This window comes from Homo sapiens, chromosome 13 (genome assembly GCF_000001405.40).
Source record: "Homo sapiens chromosome 13, GRCh38.p14 Primary Assembly".
NCBI lineage: Eukaryota > Metazoa > Chordata > Mammalia > Primates > Hominidae > Homo > Homo sapiens.
The window spans coordinates 26,488,199-26,508,195 of record NC_000013.11 but is presented as its reverse complement, the minus strand read 5'-3'; the positions used below and the strand labels follow the sequence as shown (position 1 = coordinate 26,508,195).

General features: G+C 46.8%; 2 annotated features.

Annotated features, from left to right (window-relative positions):
• Positions 6,676 to 7,176: an enhancer, noted in NCBI's record as "H3K4me1 hESC enhancer chr13:27075157-27075657 (GRCh37/hg19 assembly coordinates)". NCBI's record gives its function as "activates a minimal SCP1, AML or CMV promoter by ChIP-STARR-seq in primed H9 embryonic stem cells {active_cell/tissue: H9 hESC(primed)}" and the evidence as "EXISTENCE:reporter gene assay evidence [ECO:0000049][PMID:30033119]".
• Positions 11,317 to 11,486: a silencer, noted in NCBI's record as "silent region_5187". NCBI's record gives its function as "represses an Ori minimal core promoter by ATAC-STARR-seq in GM12878 lymphoblastoid cells {active_cell/tissue: GM12878}" and the evidence as "EXISTENCE:reporter gene assay evidence [ECO:0000049][PMID:35858748]".

The following is a 19,997-nucleotide window of genomic DNA, read 5'->3' as shown; positions in this document are numbered from 1 at the left end:
CATCAGCGGCTTCCTTCCACATGTGCCCTCAGCGGGAGGTGGCTGTGATTGGCCAGGGACAAGTGGGGACCCCGGAAGACCAATCATGTTCTGCATCTGGACCTTGGATGATGGTTCTTGGGTGTTTGGGATTTAGGTGTGAACTATGCACACAAGCTTTGTGTATTTTTCAGCGAGTTATATTTTACAGTTTATAAGGTGTTCAAGAGAGAATGAAAGAGCAAGAATGAAATCTCCTGGAATTTTTTTTCTTTTTTGAGATGGAGTTTTGCTCTTGTTAACCAGGCTGGAGTGCAATGGCACGATCTCGGCTCACTGCAACCTCTGCCTCCCAGGTTCAAGTGATTTTCCTGCCTCAGCTTCCCAAGTAGCTGGGATTACAGGCATGCGCCACTACGCCTGGCTAATTTTGTATTTTTAGTAGAGACAGGGTTTCTCCATGTTGGTCAGGCTGTTCTTGAACTCCCTACCTCAAGTGATCTGCCCGCCTCGGCCTCCCAAAGTGCTGGGATTACAGGCGTGAGCCACTGTGCCTGGCCATCTCCCGGAAATTTTGACATAGAATAGGGATCCCCTTGTAGGGCCCTGCTGGGCTCCCCTCCACCCCAGCATGGACATAAAGAAAAGATTTTGAATCTCTAACGGAAATTCCAGGCACACCCTGCAACCAGAGGAAGCAAATTAATAACCTGCTAAACAAGAAGATAATCATAACTTCAACAATAACCACCCACATAAATCAGAGTCACAAGATGATTGGTTCCCTACAGAAACTAAAGATAACTTCTTGACATATGTCCTGGAGTTGTTTTTCAGAAACCAGGACCCTCGCCCAATGGAAAATGCTGACCACAGTCTCACAGACCTCAGAGAGACTGAAATCAAACATGCGCTAAGGAAGTTCCTCACTTTCTCTTGCTGCAAATCCCAGTGCTGGCGTTTGGCTTTTTCCGATCACTGGGTGAGCAGACTCACGTTTGGTTTGGCAACACATTTTTCTCCATTACTTTGCAAAACTTTACTAAATGACAGTAAAAAAGATTTTTTAAGCGCAAATTCAGAAGAAGGAAACATGGCAGAAGGAGAAGACAAAATACTTCAACCAAGATTTGGAAGATGAAATGAGTAGACACAAATGTAGCAGAGCGGGAAAATCTAAAACCTCAGTCCCTCTGAAGGCGGGTTAGGGAATAGGACAGGCCAAGAAGAAGCAAAATCCGACCAAAATAGTTCCGTGCAGAGGACAAGGAGATGAGGGTCTGGGGTGGCAGCAAGGCCAAGTGCTATAATCCTAGCACTTTGGGAGGCCAAGGCGGGTGGATCACCTGAGGTCAGGAGTTTGAGACCAGCCTGGCCAACCTGGTGAAATCCCGTCTCTACTAAAAATACAAAAATTAGCCTAGCTTGGTGGCAGGTGCCTGTAATCCCAGCTACTCGGAAATCGGAGGCAGGAGAAATCTGCCTCAAGGCATCTCCAAAGAGGCACCTTCTTAGTGTGTGTGGGTTTTTGATATACATAGGTGATTGTTTATTCACAAAATGAAGAGTTTCAAGGGGGAGGGGCAGCTGAAGAAGCAAGATGATTCTTGCTATGCAACCCAGAGTGCAGAGAAGGCCAGGATTCGGGGTGCCTCTTCAGGTCCCTGGAAAGGCGAAGGGGGTTAGGGTTGGGGCCAAGAGCAGGCGGTTCGTGGAAAGGTCAGACAATCAGAGTTACGCTCTAGCTTCCTTTTCCCTCACCTTCTGGAGATCCTGAGATGGACACGCGATCTCAGGGACACCAGGTGCCACTGGGGGTGGGGTGAAGTGATGTTAGAAGTGAGTGTCAGCTGATGAAATGATGAGAACCCATCCCTAGCCTCCACCGCTGGCCCAGCCATCAGGGCTCTGGGAAGCCAGGCTTATGCCTCTCCGGCCCTACCTGGGCCCAGCCCCCAGGGTGTATCAGGGACTTCTTCTCCAGGAGAGACAGCAGGAGAGACTGAGAAACGGCCTCAGGAGAGGAACAGAAAGTTCCTGCTCGGTAAAACAGCTATAGCATGCATGGGAGCTGCCTCCGTGCCAGGCGCTGTTCCAAATGCTCCACGCAGACAGACCCCTTACAACCGAAGGGAGAGTGGGTGCTATCACCATTCCCCTTGCACGGGAGGGAAGCAGACAGGCTTCTGTCAGCATCCCTGCCCCCTACAGTTAGGTGCAATTTCCTATATCGCCAATTTCCCTTACCCCTTACTCGCCAATCCTCTGTCTACTTTGAGCCTTCAAGATATTGTTTGAGGCTGATCATAGCGGCTCACACCTGTAATCCCACCACTTTGGGAGGCCAAGGCTGGTGGATCACTTGAGGTCAGGAGTTTGAGACAAGGCTGGCCAACATGGTGAAACCTCGTCTCTACTAAAAATACAAAAATTAGCTGAGTGTGGTGGTGCACACCTGTAATCCCAGCTACTCAGGAGGCTGGGGCATGAGAATCACTCAAACCAAGGAGGTGGAGGCTTCAGTGAGCCAAGGTCACGCCCCTGCACTCCAGCCTGGGCAACAGAGAGAGACTCCATCACAAAAAATAAAAATAAAAATAAAAATAAATTGACATTTCCCTCCTTATCTTGGGAGTTAATTAATATTTTAAAATTAATAGACTATTTCTTAGAGCAGTTTTAAGTTCACAGCAAAATTTAACAGAAAGTTTCCATATACCCCTGAGCTCCCAGTAACCTCCTGGGTTCAAGAGATTTCTCCTGCCTCCGATTTCCGAGTAGCTGGGATTACAGGCACCTGCCACCAAGCTCGGCTAATTTTTGTATTTTTAGTAGAGACGGGATTTCACCAGGTTGGCCAGGCTGGTCTCAAACTCCTGACCTCAGGTGATCCACCCGCCTTGGCCTCCCAAAGTGCTAGGATTATAGGCATGAGCCACTATGCCCAGTCTCACCATAGGTTTTTAAGAAAAGTAGGCAGACAAGGAAAGGAAGATAATTCAAAAAATATTTTAAAACTCTATAATTAATTAAAAAAAACCCTATGATATAAGTACTATGATTATCTCCATTTCAGTGATGAGAATATAGAAGCATTATGGGAGTTGCCCAAGTCACACAGCACGTGGGTGGGGAGGTGGCCTTTGTTCCCTTGCTATTACTCAAATCATGGCACCTGGTCACTTCCTCAGCGATGCTTTGCCTCTTGACCCATGTAAAACCACCTTCTCCTTTCCTTTTCTCTCTCCTTAGCCTGGCTTATTTTCCTCCCTAGTGTTATTAGCAACTGACATTGTATCATACAATTACTGTGTTCTTTTTATTGGCTATCTCCCTCTCAGCAAGTATAAGCTTCATGAGGGGCTTTGTCTGCCTTATTTATCTGATTCCTAGTGCCCAGAAAAACACCTGACACATGGCAGGCACTCAATAAGTACTGAATTAATACGTTAATATTAAAGTGAATTTTAAAAACAAAGGAATGCATGTAACCCTTAAGAGAAAAATAGCTCTATGGGAGGATCCTAAATAGAATACCTTCCCACTTAATTTAACACTAGAGCCAGGAAAAAAAATTATCTTCCTAATTAAGTATTTTTTTCAAAATCTTAGAAAACAACAAATATCAGAAAACAATACAAATGCTTGCAGGCAACATAATATTAACAGGGCATCTAACGTTTCCTATTAGATTCATGCCCTTAGGAAGTCAGTAATTTAATAAGTGTAACAGTTGCCATGAACATTACACTACCTGTGAACACTCAGCATCTGAATCCCGCATATTAGAATCTGCTCCAGCCTTTGGAGACAGCAGTCCCTTGTGTTCCAGCAGTGTCAGTGTGCCTCCTGCTATAAACCCTGGGACCACGGCACACACTTTGGTAAATGTATGTAGCGGTTATCTCAGTTGATTAGGACATTCCCAAAGTGTGGTACATGTAAGAAAATATATTACTTTAACAGAAATATGTTATCTCTACTCTAAGAAATGTACCTGGCATTGTCGTGAGTTGGCCCAAGGAAGCCTGAGGATGTTACATTGAGAACGTCTGTAGGATAAGGAAACACAGAAAGTCATTCAGAAGTAATCAGTTTTTCAAGTAGTACTGAACTTTGAAGTCATTCTTTTCACACCCCAATCCTTCTAACACCTCCCACCTCACTGCAGCAGAGTGAGAGGAGTAATTTCCAGACAGCAGACAGTTGCAGCAGAACAGCATAGGCTGTGTCTGTGCCGTGTGGGCCTCCAGAAGCTCCCACTCCAGTGAGGCAAATCTAGCCTAGTGGGGCAGAGGGAGGACCTTCTGTCGGTCTCTTGGGACAAGTTGCTCAGCATCTTTGTTCCTCCATTTCCTCATTGTAAAATGCAGATAATGACAGTACTTACCCAGTGGGTTGGGATGAGTATTAAATTAGTCAAATCCCTGCAGACACTCAAAAACATTTATTAGGCCTGTCTCGCTGGAACAGAAGCTTCCTGAAGGCAAAGATTTTGTCTACTCTGTGTACTGTAGTATCTCAGTGCCTAGGTTGGGGCTGGCATGTGGTAAGTGCTCATTCAAATATTTGTGGCACGAATGAGTGAAAAATTCTAGCATAGCATGGATCTGTGCAGCAGCAGCATAGAAAGAGCATAGCTATATTTATAGAAATACTGAGGAGAAATTAACAGTTGATATCTCAATTTAAGCAATCACAAAGGAAGAATTCTGTCTACAATTGGCAAATCAACCCTGATATAAAGGAGGTAGCACTCCATTGCCAACTGGCGCAGGATTGGAAGCAGAACCAGGGCAACAAATAGAGAAGACGACCAGGCAAAGACCTTTCTTGTAGTCACTCCTGGATAAAGATATTGACTTCTTGGTGAGGAGGGATCAGATGTTAATGCCAACAGAAGGTTGCAGTTTCCCTAATATTTGAGGACAACCGGCATGCCATTGCTACATCTTCTTTTTCCAGTCTACTTGTGCCGTCTCCTTCAACCAGTCCGTGTGATGTGATTCTCAGAGTCCTCGCTACCCCTGACGTCTCATCCTTATCTACTTCCTGGCTGTCTTAACGGGTAGTTCTGGATGGGAAAGTCAGCACGCTACCCAGCCAGTGCAGGAAACAGCAGGCGTTCTAGAAACCGTGCTTTTATTCATACCCCCTAGCAGGCAGTAGCTGTTATAGCAACCGCTTCACACGATTCACAGTGAGCTCCTCATCAGTGACTTGCCCTGAGTCAACTCAACTACCAGATCCTCTGCACGTGGGCTTCTTTCATGTCAGAGAGCTGCCTGCCAGGTCCAGAAGAACTAAGCGTCTTAGTGAGTCAGTAGAACATTTTTTTATTTGGAAAGTTATATTCATATTTTTCCGTTATAAAAATAGAATTATGTAACTGAAAATTTTGAAAATAAAGACAAAAATTATCCGTGACCCTGCTAGCCTATATAATCACTGTTAATGTTTTAGCAAATTTTATAACAGGTTTTTTCATGTCTGTAAAGTTGCACTAATAACTTTTGACTTTATATCCTGATTTTTTTTTCAGTGATTTTGGCATTTTCTCATCATTTGTTTTTTATTTTATTTTTGAGACAGAATCTCACTGTCACCCAGGCTGGAGTGCAGTGGCACGATCTCAGCTCACTGCAACCTCCGCCTTCTGGGTTCAAGCAATTCTCATGTCTAAGCCTCCTGAGTAGCTGGGAGTACAGGCACCCGCCATCATGCCCGGCTAAGTTTTTTGCATTTTTAGTGGAGATGGGGTTTCACCATGTTGGCCAGGCTGGTCTCGAACTCGCCAGCCTCAGCCTCCCAAAGTGCTGGGATTTCAGGCATGAACCACCAATCCTGGCCTTCTCATCATTTGTAATGGCTGAATAATATTCTTTACAGTGTACTTAACCATAATCCTATTGTTGAATATTGAAAGTGTTCACTGCTTTTATGTTAATGAGTAATGCTATAATAGACATAGTCATGAATGTAGATTTTTCAGAATTGAGGTTGATTTACTTTGGTAAATTCCCAGAGGCAGAATTACTTACCCTGGAGTAAGGAAGAGATATACTTTTTTACTAGAGACCAACAGACTTAGCTGTTTGCTGAGAAAATCAAGTTACCCACTTCCAAGCAAGCCCTGAAATAATTTTTACTATTTAAAAGTGTTTTTAAATAGCAAACATTCTTAGAAAAGCTAACGATCAGTCAGCATTAAACAAATGTGAAAGCCAAGCTCCGTGGCTGCTTGTTTGAGTAGGTTGCTGTCTCCCATGCCTGCCTCCCTAGTGAATGGAGTGAGGGAATTAAAGTGCCCTTTTCCATCGTACACTCTGAGATCTATGATCTATATTTCATGTCAAGTTGCAGAGGAAGTAGAATTGATAGATCCTATGGGCCCAGCTCCCTACTTAGCCCTCCCCTGCTTTATTATAGAAAGCCCGTTTAAATGACTGTCAGCATAATCGATGAAGGACAGGATTGTTGTGGACACTGGTGTTTTGCCTGCAGAGGCATGAAAGGCCCGGGAGTGCCCTTTCCCTCACCCACACGGTTCTTCCAGCTCGTTCAGGAGGTCAAGAGGCAGGAAGCTCATTAGCCCTCACCCCACATGCATTGAGTGGGAAAGCTGGGCTGCCTGGAAATGCTCATTGCTCCCAATTTCAATATCAGGAATGGTTTATAATGACTTGGGAATTCCTTCACTGAATGGCTATGGAAATAAATGTGCCAAGATCAAGGTTAGGGAATGATCTCAGGCATGGTTTGTTCATCTAAGAATGGGAACCCACCAGCTCCCTTCTCCCTCCCAGTCAGGCCTTTCATCTGGGAGCATGTGGTGCCGCCCTCCCCACAAACCTCTTGGGCCCCTTGACAATGGTCCCTTCGCAGGCATCTGTTTTGATGGGAGGAAATGGCTGGGCTTCCCAGTCACACAGGTCAGTCACCCTGTGCTCAGAAAGCTCTGAAAGAGGCTGGCAGGATGGGCTGCATGTGGGCAGCCTGCAGGCACTAGAAAACCTGAGTGCCTCAGGATGTACAGACCATTGGCAGTGCTGTCTGCTATCCTGCAAACCGTCTTGCCCTTTGCATTTCCTGTCTCTTGACTGGGGAGCAAAGAACGGCAGGCAGGAAGCTGGCACGAGGCAGAGCCACAGGATAGAAGGCTGAATTCTCCCATGCCGGGCAGTTGTGTGCACTGCAGCCCGGGTACTTCTTGCTCCTCCTTTGCATCCTCCTGACAAGGGCATTACCACGGATCCAGTGCTAAGTGGAAGGATGCTGAGACCAGGACCCCACCCAGCCGCTATCCAGGTTCTGTCCTCGCCCAGGGCTGGCTCCTTCTCTCCAGGCTAAGGGGCCTGCTCCTCTCCAGGAGAGTCAGCCACCCCAGGCTGCCACACTGGAAACCAGCTCACACCCAAGGCGTCTGTTTGGGTATCTTCTAGAAGGGGAATGGGCATCTGGTTGGCCGGAATGACTAAGGGATCCCGTGAGGCTGGGCTGAGCCCCGACCTGCACGCCAGACATATAAGGAGGGAGCCCCCAGAACGGCCTTCGTATCTTGCCTGCCATCCTACCTGCCTGCAGCCACTTCTATGGGGTCCAGGCATCAGCTGTGACTGCCAGGGGCTGTGAACCTCACCTCTGCTGAAATGCCAGGCAGTTCTCCCTCCTTCCCTGGCAAGGCCTGACACAGGAAAGTAGAATGGAGAGTATGGCGCAGACTGGCAAACTTCCTTAGCCAAACGGCCACTTCACTCCCTTCATGGGATAGTATGTGTCCTGAAAGGACACTCTACATCATTTGCAGCAGGAAACCCTGTTTTTTTAAACTTTTTAAATTTTTATTTATTTATTTTTTTGAGACAGGGTCTCACTCTCTCACCCAGACTGGAGTGCAGTGGTGCCATCTCGGCCCACCACAACCTCCACCTCCCAGGTTCAAGTGATTCTTCTGCCTCAGCCTCCCGAGTAGCTGGGATTGCAGACGCACGTCACTACCACCCGGGTAATTTTTATGTTTTTAGTAGAGATGGGGTTTTATCATGTTGGCCAGGCTGGTCTCGAACTCTTGGCTGCAAATGATCCACCTGCCTCAGCCTCCCAAAGTGCTGGGATTATCTTTGCTGCATCTTCCCCCCAACCTTTTTATTGAGATGTGGTCTCACTCTGTTGCCCAGGCTGGAGTGCAGTGGTGCGATCTTGGCTCACCGCAACCTCCACCTCCTAGGTTCAAGCAATTCTCCTGCCTCAGCCTCCTGAGTAGCTGGGACTACAGGCATGCACCACCATGCCTGGCTAAGTTTTGTATTTTTAGTAGAGACGGAGTTTCACTATGTTGGCCAGGCTGGTCTTGAACTCCTGACCTCATGATCCACCTGCTTCAGCCTCCCAAAGTGCTGGGAGCCACCACGCTCCGCCTGCTGCATCTTCTTAACATAAAATAAAGGTGCAAATCAGATTAGGACAGGTTGAGAACTGCTGAATATGTTATTGTATTTCTCTTCTTGTATGTAAACTAGGCACTAAATGCACTAAACACGCATGTGTGCAAAACACGTTCTCTCATGTCTCACCAACACATCTGGAGTGCTTACTGTGGGCCACGCATGTCTGTGCATGGACATCTCATTTAGTCTTCACAAAGGCCCAGGGAGGGGCATATTATTGTTCCTGCTTAAAGATGAGGACAAGGGAAGATGAGATAATTGGCCAGTGTCACATAGTTGGTGATTAAGTGAGCCAGGATTCCAACCCAAAGTGTCCAAAGACCTTTTGACACTCAGGCCCCAGGCTTGCTGCACAGGCACCACCCGGGAGAGGGCAGGCTGTGTCCTTCCAGCAGCGTTGGGAGGTGGCAGGGAACAGAGGGTAACAGGTTAGACTAGAAAATTTAGTTCCTCTCTGCTTTTAACCTGCCAGCTCCTAGTTTTTCTTTGGGAAAATCACTCAGGCCCTCTGGGTTTGAATTGCACTGTCTGTGCAACACTTCATAGAGCATTGGCCTCAAAGTTCTTTTCTAGCTGTAACAGCCTGCGAGTCTGTGAAACCAATTGCTAACTGCACAGCAGACTGACTCCTAGAGAATGTGCACAGCCCAGCAGCTCAGACCATTACTACGGAAAGAAAGAAAAACATCATGGCTGCTGCTTCCTGCTCCTGATAGTGAGTCACATTTAATGTCATTATATTAACAGAGCTGTCATTTCTACACCTCTTTGTGGACTGTCGTGTCTACTGTCAGGGGTGCTGAAAGACTCTGGTGATGTAGTCACTCTTTGCGGGGGCCCTCCCCCAGGGAACACCTGTCAACAGAAAACACTGCGTTTCACGCGGCTGCTGTTAATATTTACAGCTGGAGGCCCTCTCTCCCTAAGGCTCCTCACTTTCGAGATTCTGGTTGCATTCAACAGACATTACAAGTTCCCAGCAGAGAGGAAATACAAGGCGCCTGCTGCACTCATTACAGTGGGGCCATGCTGGGCGGGCAGATGGGCTTTCTTATCTCCCGAGGACCTGAGGTCCAGCAGCAGGTAGGGGCCCGAGCTAGCTGGCACTGGCACCCCCTCCAACCCTGCCTTGCGCTAGTCAGGTCTAGAAATGGCACCTGCCTTCCAGTTGGAGAAAGCAAATGTGTCCCCGCATTGCCCCATGTCACTTCGGGGTATATGGACAAGTCTTCTGGAAAAATTATATTCTGTTGTGGACTCAGGGCAAGTATGGATGCAACTTTGATTCCAAAAGTGGCTCCACTGGGGCTATCAATTTTCACCCAGTTCTTGCCACCAGAGGGGAAAGGCCCAGCCTTCAGAGCTCCATGAATTCTGCTGCCTGATAAGTTACTCACAAATTGCCGGGCTATCAAGGGAGAGTTGGGGTTTAAAGCATCTCTTATTGGCTGCCAGCCACAGTTTCGCATACTATTGGAATTCAATATTAGCAATGACTTCTTGGAGACAGGAAGTGTCTGAAATTGCTCTGTCTAGAAAAGTGTGGGTTGATGGATTTCTTAATAAATATGTAGAATGAGAACTTCTGTGAATCCGTGCTGACTAACACTGGATGGTACTTATACTGATTGTGTTCTTGGTATTCCAAAGCCAAGTCAGACCAACCTGTAAACCAAATGTTTTCTTGTGGGAGGTAGAATTGCAAGGGCTTGCCAGAGCCAGCGCTTGCTGGGAAGTGAGCTAGTGCAGCTCTCAAACTCATCCGCTTTCTCCCCAGAGCTGCTTGATTCATGCTGGTTATCTTGGAGACAAAACTAAAGCTTCTGGTAGAAGTTGGATTTTATTTATTTAAGACTATTAGAGGACCGAGATTAGAGGGTGTGTGGCCAGATCGGGTGCATGTTCTATGCAGGTACTGGGGATTCAGTAGTCAAGACAGCCCCGCTCCCTGCCCTCGCAGACTTAGTCCAGAGATGACACTAAAGTGTGGTCATTACCATCCTGCAGGGTGTCCTGGGGGTTTCAGAGACAGGCTCCCTTAAGGAAGTGGAGTGATGTCTAAGGGATATAGATGATGATCCCTGAGGGACATAGACTGCCCCTAGGTGATGAAGGTGAACGAGTTTGTGTCTCAGATGGAAGAAACAGCATACTCAAAAGGCCAAACATAGGACATGGCACAAAAGGAGTGGGCAACCAATGACCAAGTGTGAGTCGGGGAGCAGGGTTGGTTGAAGGAGGAGATGGTTGATAGGAGCAGGAGCCAGGCAATGGAGATCTTGGAAGTTGGATAAGATTCTGGACTTGATTCTAGAGCAGGGTTTCTTGGCTTTGGCACTACTTACATCTGGGGCTGGATAATTGTTTGTTGTGAGGCAGGGCAGGAGGCTGTCCTGTACATTGTGCGATGTTCTGCAGCATTGCTGGCTGGGCTTACAACATACCAGTGGCGCCTCCCAGTCATGACAATCAAAAACGTCTCCAGTCATTGCCCAGTGTCCCCTGGGTGATGAAGTTGCCCCCTGTTGAGAATCATTGCTCCGGGGCAATGGGGAGCCACTGAGGGGTTTTGAGCAGCAGCTGATAGCAGGAACTCTGCAGTCTTCATTGCTACAGCCATTTCCTCTCCGCCTTGGGCTGAGCTTCTCGTGAGCATCAAAAGTTGTAGGAGAAAAAGAGCTGATGTGCCTTTCTGCTATGGGTATTTTTCAGAACTGAAACTATTAAAACTTTCCTCTTCTGATGAATTGGTATTCTTACTTTTATAATATAAAGAACCCTATCCTTTTCCCTCTTTGCTTTGGTGACCAGAGAGCTTAGAATTACTGTTTCTACTCAGTTGCATGGGCCTCTCTGGATCGGTGTAAGTCTAAGTTGCCTACCCAGGCCCAGCAGTTTGCAGACATCAGTCAAGTAGAGGTGGGAGGGCGGGGGCGGGCGCCACAGTGCCTGGAGGCTGCAGCTCTCTGTCTTCCCTCCAGAGGGCAGCAGGCCCTCAGCTCCCACTATGGGGCCATTGAATCTTTGGATTGTTCAAGAAACACAGGAAATCCAGATTTCTATGTAAAACCTCCCAAGTTTATATATTGGCAATAAATTCAAATGTTCAAATGTCTGTAAGACAAGTACCAGGCCAAATCAAATTGTCTTGGGGCTATTTTCTGCTCGAGGGCCAGTTTGTGACCTCTTTTTTTTTTTCTTTTCTTTTTTCTTTTCTCTCTCTTTTTTTTTTTTTTTTTTTTTTTTTGAGACAGAGTCACTCTGTCACCCGGGCTGGCATGATCTCAGCTCACTGCAACCGCTGCCTCCCAGGTTCAAGTGATTCTCGTGCCTCAGCCTCTCAAGTAGCTGGAACTACAGACACCTGCCACCACACCTAGCTAATATCTGTATTTTTAGTACAGATGGGGTTTTACCATGTCGGTCAGGCTGGTCTCGAACTCCTGACCTCAGGTGATCTGCCCATCTCAGCCCCCAAAGTGCTGGGATTACAGGCGTGAGCCACCGTGCCCGGCCTCCAGTTTGTGACCTCTTGATGGGTGTTTTTTGTTTTGATTTTTTAAAAAACATGTATTTTATATATACACACACATATATAATTTCATTTATTTTATTGCTTTGCTTTTTCCATTTGCTTCTGTTTTCATTGTTTTAATTTCATTTTGGGGGAGGAGTAGGGGATTGTGCTAGGGTATCTTCTCTTCACTCTCCCAGATCCATCTTGCAGCTTCCTCCACTTTGCTCTGTGTCCTGGGAACGATCAGGCTCTCTTGCTCTGTGACTTATGTTGGGAGGCCCTGCCAGCATCTGCAGGTGGGAAGGAAGTGAGGCTGGAATACAGATTCTCCAGCCCACTCCCTGCTGGGGAGGCTCAGGTCCTGGCTCAGGGCAGACAGCCTTGCCTCCAGCTGTCCTCTCCAAGCTCTGGATTCTGCTCCTGGTCCTGGTCCTTCTAGGGCGGGTGAGCTGCGGAGCTGTGGCATCTTCATCCTCACCCTGTTGGTTTTCCTCAACCCTGCCTGGATCTTCGTGCATAGCCCCTTCATTAAGCTTCCCTCAATTATCTGACTTGAGGGTTTTGTTAGCTTCCTACCAGGGCCCATGGCTACTAAAAAATAAGTAATTTAGTGCAGAACACAGGAAAGTTGGGGGGTTGTTTATATGAACAAAACATAAATAATAGACTGGTCTCAGAGGATGTGTATTGGCCGTAAGGACGGGAAACCATAACTACATCAACAGGGAACGTGCCTAGATTCCCATTCATCAGATCAAATCTGCTTCACATGACGTGATTTTGAACCTTGACTTAAAGTAGCTCATGCCATTTTCATGTAAAACTGTGTTTATCCTGCAGGAAAAAACATGGGAAATGTGCCCTAGAGGTGAAATGTGTGAGGAATGTCTCAGGAGCCTCATGATTGCTGTTCTCAGGAGCCTGTTCTCATGATTGCTTATTTTCTGTCTCCTTTCCTGGCTTCTCTTTGGCCTCTCGCTCATGGAATGCAGTCTGGATGTTTCTAGGCAGCACAGAGTAGAGGTTAAGATCAATTACCTTTAAATTAAGTTAACATTTGTGCTGCTGTCTTGCCTCTTATCATGTCACCTGTATAGCTGTGGAGAAGGAAGCGATTCCTTCTCTCTAAGTTTCAATGCCCTCAAAATGCAACCTCCCAGGGTGGCAGAAAGGATGAAAGAAGCAAACGTAAGGAAAACACTTATTGCTCCTGGCACATGGGGTGCCCAGTAACTGGCAGAGATTATTAACAAATCAAGCCCTGTTGCCCAGAAAGCTGTTAACTGTTAACAGTTTGTGCATTAATGTGAACATCTGCCCATTTACAGTACGCAATAAGCTTCATTTGGTGCAATGACCTTGAAGCAATGCATAATTCTAATTGTTCTCTGAATCATCAGAGAAAGATTGAGTGAAATTCAATCTAGTGTTCAATATATTCTTATTGCTTCCACATTTGGAAAATTCCTCTCATATTATCCATCTCCAGTCCTTTGGCACTCCTCCCATGTCACGTTTCTTGAGGATTGCAGATAGTGGTTCTGAGACGACATTTGCAAATCCCATTAGCAGTCTGCGATTACAGTCCCTCTACGTCTAGAGACCAAAACTCATTTAAAGCAGCGTGTTGCTTCCTTCTATCTTTTCATTGATTTGGGGCTGCAGTTCTCATTTTATGTGCCAGTTTCAGTGAGAAGCTCATTCTCCCAATGTACTCTTAATTTGCCAGGATAACAAATTTCACCTTAAAATCAGTATGCCACTTGCTGGGACCAGAGGGCCAAACATGCTGAGTTGGAAAAAAGGAAGACCCAATAAAGCCAACACAGAGTAAAGGGAAAAAATATCAAACCCTCTCTTCGTAGCCGTTGCTAACTCTGTATCCAGTGTGAGACTTGATTCTCTCTTAAAACCTGGATCACACACCCTTCCTGCAAATATAAATAACTCTATCCCTTAGCCTCTTATTCAGTGGCAAGTTGGTACAATCACAAACCCGGATTATAGGCTGCCACTCTCTCGTTACATGGTGCTTAGTTCCTTAACTGTGTGACTAATAAGGTCAGCAATATCTTAGCTGGCATTTGTTGAATATTTACTACATACCAGCACTTTGCAAAGATTATCATGCAATCCTCAAACAAACCTATGAGATGGAAGCTCTTGTTACTGTCACTTTACTGATGAGAGAGTTTGAGTGTGGCCTGGATGGAGCTCAGCGGTCCCAGCAGTATGTGATGAGCAAACTCACCTCTGCATTTTCTCCTTGGAGAGACAGAGCATGGCCTGGAGAAGGGCTTCCACAGTCAAATCAGCACCCTGCTGACCTGCAAGAAGCAATGTGTAGGCTCAAGGGAGGTGGTCCCTCATGGAAGGCGCCAAGATGCCAAGCCAGGTACAGCAGGACAGGAAGGGAGGGAATGAACGTAAGATGGTGGGGAGAGGGTGCTCCCACCTCCCTATTGCCCTTCCCCACCTCTGGTGACCATGAGTCTACTCTCCATCTCCACGAGTTCAATTGTTGCCATGTTTAGTTCCCACATATGAGTGATGGTTAATGGGTGCAAAAATACAGTTAGAATGAATAAGATCTATATTTTATATCACAACAGCATGTCTATAGTTAACAATAATTTATTACATATCTAAAAATAACTAAAAGGCCCAGCACAGTGGCTCACGCCTATAATACAAACATTTTGGGAGGCCGAGGCGTGCAGATTGCTTGAGTCCAGGAGTTTGAGACCAGTCTGGGCAACATGATGAAACCCCATCACTATAAAAATGCAAAAATTAGCCAGGCATGGTGGCACATGTCTGTGGTTCCAGCTACTCAGGAGGCTAACGTACGAGGATCGTTTGAGCTCTGGAGGCAGAGGTTGCAGTGACTTGAGATTGTACCACTGCACTCCAGCCTAGGTGACAGAGTGAGATCTCATCTCAAAAACAAAACAAAACAAAAAAACCCAATAAAAATAACTGAAAGAGTGGAATTGGATTGTCCTTACACAATGAAATGATAAATGTATGAGGTGATGGACACCCCAAATGCCCTGTTGTGGTTATTACCCATCACATGCCTGTATCACAACATTGCATGGACCCCGTCAGTGTATACCCCTATTATGTACCCATAATAATTAAAAATTTTTTAAAAAGAGTGCTCCAAGTAAGTGAGCCACAGGCACAAAGGCCTGGAGATGGGAATGACACATCCAAGGAACTTCAAGAAGGCTGGCGTGGCTGGATCTGAGTGAGTGAGTTAGGCCATGAGATCAGAGAAACTGGCAATGCAAGGGCTGGTCTTTGCATGCTGTGGGCCTTGGTCAAGATTTCTGATTTTATTCTCAGTGTGATAGCAAGCCGTTAAGATTTTGAGATAAAGAGTTACATGGTAAGGTTGGTGTTTTAAAAAGGTGATTCCAGCTGCTGTGTGGAGATGTGTCTGCAAATGGAGGGGAAAGCGGGGAGGCAGTTGGAAGCACTATTACAGATAGGTGAGAGAGGATGGCGGCTTGGACCATGTGCCATTGTCCGAGTCAGAATCTAAGCTGAGAGTAGCGCAGGCAGAACCTGCTGATGGATGGTGTAATGGTTAGTATTGAGTGTCAACTTGATTGGATTGAAGGATGCAAAGTATTGTTCCTGGGTGTGTCTGTGAGGTGTTGCCAAAGGAGATTAACATTTGAGTCAGTGGACTGGGAGAAGCAGACCCACCCTCAATCTGCATCGGCACTACCTAATCAGCTGCCGGTGCGGCTAGAATGAAAGCAGGCAGAAAAGTGTGGAAGGAGTAGACTGGCTGAGTCTTCCTGACTTCATCTTTCTCCTGTGCTGGATGCTTCCTGCCCTTGAACATTGGACTCCAGGTTCTTCGGTTTTTGGACTCTTGGACTCACACCAGTGGTTTGTCAGGGACTCTCAGGCCTTTGGCCACAGACTGAAGGCTGCACTGTCAGCTTCTCTACTTTTTAGGTTTTGGGACTCAGACTGGCTTCCTTGCTCCTCAGCTTGCAGATGGCCTATTGTGGGACCTCACCTTGTGATCATGTGAGTCAACACTCCTTAATAACCCCTCCTTCATATATACATCTATCCTATTAGTCCTGTCCCTCTAGAGAACCCTAATACAGACAGGATATGAGAGATGAAGGAAGAAAGTGGTCAGGGGGATCCCAGGGCTTGGACTGAGCAACTCGGTGAATGAGGGTATTACGTACCAAGGTGGGGAGGAGCCATTGTGGGGGCAACAGCAAGAGAGTTCTGTTTGGAACATGTGAAGTTTGCAGTGGCCATTAGACACTCAAGTGAACCTGTGTGAATTTTACATGTCAACCTGGCTGGGTTACGGTGCCCAGATATTTGGTCAAACACCAATCTGGATGTGGCTGTGAAGGTAATTGTTTAAAGATGAGATAAACATTTAAGTCAATAGATTTTGAGTAAATTAGATGATCCTCTGTAAAACGAATGGGCCTTATCCGATCAGATTAGTTGAAGGCCTTAAGAGAAAATGACCGAGGTCTCCCATGGAAGAAGGAATTCTGCCAGCAGTCTCCCTCCAGACTCCAGCAACATCACCTCTTTCCTGAGTCTGCAGGCTGCCAGCCTGCCCTTCAAATTTCAGATGTGCCAACCCCTATAATCACATGGACCAATTACCTAGAATAAACCTCTACACACACACACACACACACACACACACACGGACGCACACACACGTACATGCACACACACTATTAGTTCTGTTTCTCTGGAGAACCCTGATTAGTACAACATTCTAAAACCTAGAGACCAGAGGCTAGAGTTAGAAAATGTAGGCGTCATCACCGTATAGACTAGAGATAATCTAAAAATTTCCAGCAGCCCTGTTTTAAAAAAGTAGAAAGAATCGAAAGACATCAATTTTAACATATTCTACTTAGCCGAAAATGTTATCACTTCAGCATGTAATTAATACAAAAACATTACTATTTTACATTATCTTCCCATATTAAGTTGTCACCATTGGGTGTGTTTTCACAGTGACAGCACATCTCAGTTGGACCAGCCTCATTTCAAGTGCTCAGTAGCCACGTGTGGCTGGCAGCTGCCATACTGTATAGCTCAGAAATAGACGGTGTTGAACCTCTGGGGCTGGGCAGGAGCACTTCTAACGCATGTGCAGGTAGAGGAGAGCAGGGAACACAGCCAAGACTGAGCCTAGGGCTTTCAAATGTTTAGAGGTTAAGAAGAGAAGGAGGATCCAGCAAAAGAGCCTAAGACCAGTATCCAATGAGGCAAATGAGAGATGAGAGTGTGGAACCTGAAAGCCAAGAGAATAAACAGCACCAGTGGTCTATGAGATGCAGGTGAGAAGTGACCGTTGGATGTGGCTAGATAGAGGTCAGGGCTGGTGACCTTGACAAGAGCAATACTGAGATGAAAAGCTGACAAACAGAAGGGCAGACAAGGATGTGGACAGTGAGAGTGCAGCCAGCTGCCTAGAAGAGAGGAGACTGGCATGGAAGGGAGCAGAGAGTCGGGGCATGGCTGGAGGGAGGTGGTGACTAGGACATAGTGGGGTTTTTTTGTTTTTGTTTGAGACAGAGTCTCGTTCTGTCACCCAGGCTGGAGTGCAATGGCGCGATCTCGGCTCGCTCCAACCTCCACCTCCTGGGTTCAAGGGATTCTTCTGCTTCAGCCTCCTGAGTAGCTGGGACTACAGGCATGTGCCACCACACCCAGCTAGCTAATTTTTGTATTTTTAGTACAGACAGGGTTTCACCATGTTGGCCAGGCTGGTCTCAAATTCCTGACCTCAAGTGATCCACTTGCCTCGGCCTCCAAAGTGCTGGGATTACAGGTGTGAGCCACTGTGCTCGGCAGGACGTAGTATTTTAAACAGGAGGTCCTATTGCACTGTTGGAGAGGGATTCAGTACAGAAGGAGAAATGAATGGTGCAGGCAAGAGACAGTGATCAAGAGTGGGAGAGAAGCCCCACTTAGGCTTAAGCTGGCATTGAGGTGGGATCCAGGACAGAGCACTTGGGTACAAGTGCTGGTGTGTCCACGTGGTGCTGGGAGGATGGGGCAATCCTCTCTTGGGGAGTTAGCATTTGGAAAGGGAAGGTAGGGAAGAAAGGTGTGATCCAATCTTCCAGAGAGTGGCAGAGAGAAGTGATTAGGTGAAATGGTTCTTTGAACCTGGACACCTGTTAGAATTTCCTGGGGCGCTCTTACAATACACCAAAGCCTGGGCCCTACCACAGACCAATCGAAGCAGGATCTCTTAGGTTAGGTCTCAGGAACGAGACCTAGTTAGGTCTCCCCATGTGATTCCAATGGCATCCAAGTTTAGGGAACTAAAGGGTGGCCAGCTGAGTCACATGAAATTGAACCTGATGCCGATGAAGCGGTTTCTATTGAAATTAACATAACAATCTCCAGGAGACAGAGCTTTGGACAAAAAGCCCTCCGGTCCAGATCAATTGGAGGAGAGGCCATCGTGGTCCATGGTGTTCAGATTTACAGAGACAATTATTTCCATCATGGGATGTATAGAATAGAGGCAAACACAGTGTCATCATTGTAGCCATCTAAGGGTTACCATTCGCCCTGCTGGGAGGAACCCAAATCAGGAGATGAAGGAATAAATTCAGAAGTAACATTCACACACTGTGCTTAGGAAACTCTACTAAAGGCTGTTCCTGGGAAGAGTGGGCTGTATATTAGCAAGAGCCTGAAAATCAAAGGGAAAGAGCTTAAGGAGTAGTTACCTGGTAGACTAGGTATTTCTCTATTCATTTGTTCACTCAACATTCAATGTGTGTTTATTGAGCACTTACCTATTATGTGCCAGGGAGAAGTTCTTACGAAAAGCAAGAGTTGACAGCATGGAGCAGTCCCTGTGTGTGTCAGCTGCTCAGCAGTGGCCACCAGAAGAAAATTGTCAGGGACCCTCCAAAGAAAGATGAGAAGGTATCGTGGGCGAAAACAGCAGAGATAGATAGGAGCTGCATCATCTTCATCCCGATCTGAAATGGAATCAAATCATCCTCGGAGATCTCAATCTGCCCACCCTTAGGGAAATGAGTGAGAATGGCCAGGAACCTATCCTCAGGGAGGCTCTGGCCTCTTCATTCCTCCATGGCACCATGTCTACTGTGTGCCAGGCATGTGCTGGGATTGGAAACATGAAGCAGACATGGCCCACCTTTCAAGGAGCTCGCAGCTTAGTAGGAAAAGAGCCAGAGTGGAGTTGCATTTCAGACAGCAGTTAGGTAGATTCTCAAGTCAACATTAAGGAGAAAATCAAGTCTAACCAAAATTACCTTGGGAGAAAAGAATTCTCCAGGGAGATCAGAGGCTGGTGTCTGAAACACAGCCTCTAGTAAACACAACGCAGCCAGTTTTCCTGCAGCATTGGGACAGATGGCCGTCTCTGTGGCTGAGCACCAGAGGAAGCAATCGGCTTGGCTTGCATTTCGAGGTCATGTTGTATGAAAAAGATGTATTGTCACTCTAAACACTGGTGTGCGAGATGCTCGCACCTCGGAGAGGCTCAGAATTGGATGCAAACGTTGGCAGATCCGCTCTCTGGGGCATATGCTTATTGCGGGGAAGGGCTGGCAGAATCACACACTTTATTTACATTGTTTTTCGTTTAAAGTTTTCTTTGAGCACCTACAGTTGAATTCGCTTAAGCTAAATGTGGATGTAATGGGACCAATTGAGAAAAGGCGATTGGGAGGCCACTGGAAGTGTGACACCCTTGCCAGAGGAGGTGAGACTTAGGACGGGAAGATGCCGCAGGCGCCCCTTTCTCCAAGGCGCTGAGCATTCCAGAGGGGCCAGCCACGGGGTCCAGTATTTGTGTGAATGCTGAAGCAAGAGGGAGAGTCCCACCTGACTTCTCCCCCATCCTCTGCAGAAGACCCCACCCCATGAGAACCCTCTAGTGGCCTTGCAAGGAGGGAGAGGAGGCAGGGTCCCTTCAGAAAAGGTCTCAGGGCCCTGCCTCTGCATCCTCTATATGGCCTCCTTCCCTGGAGACCTCACAGGAGACTTAGCCC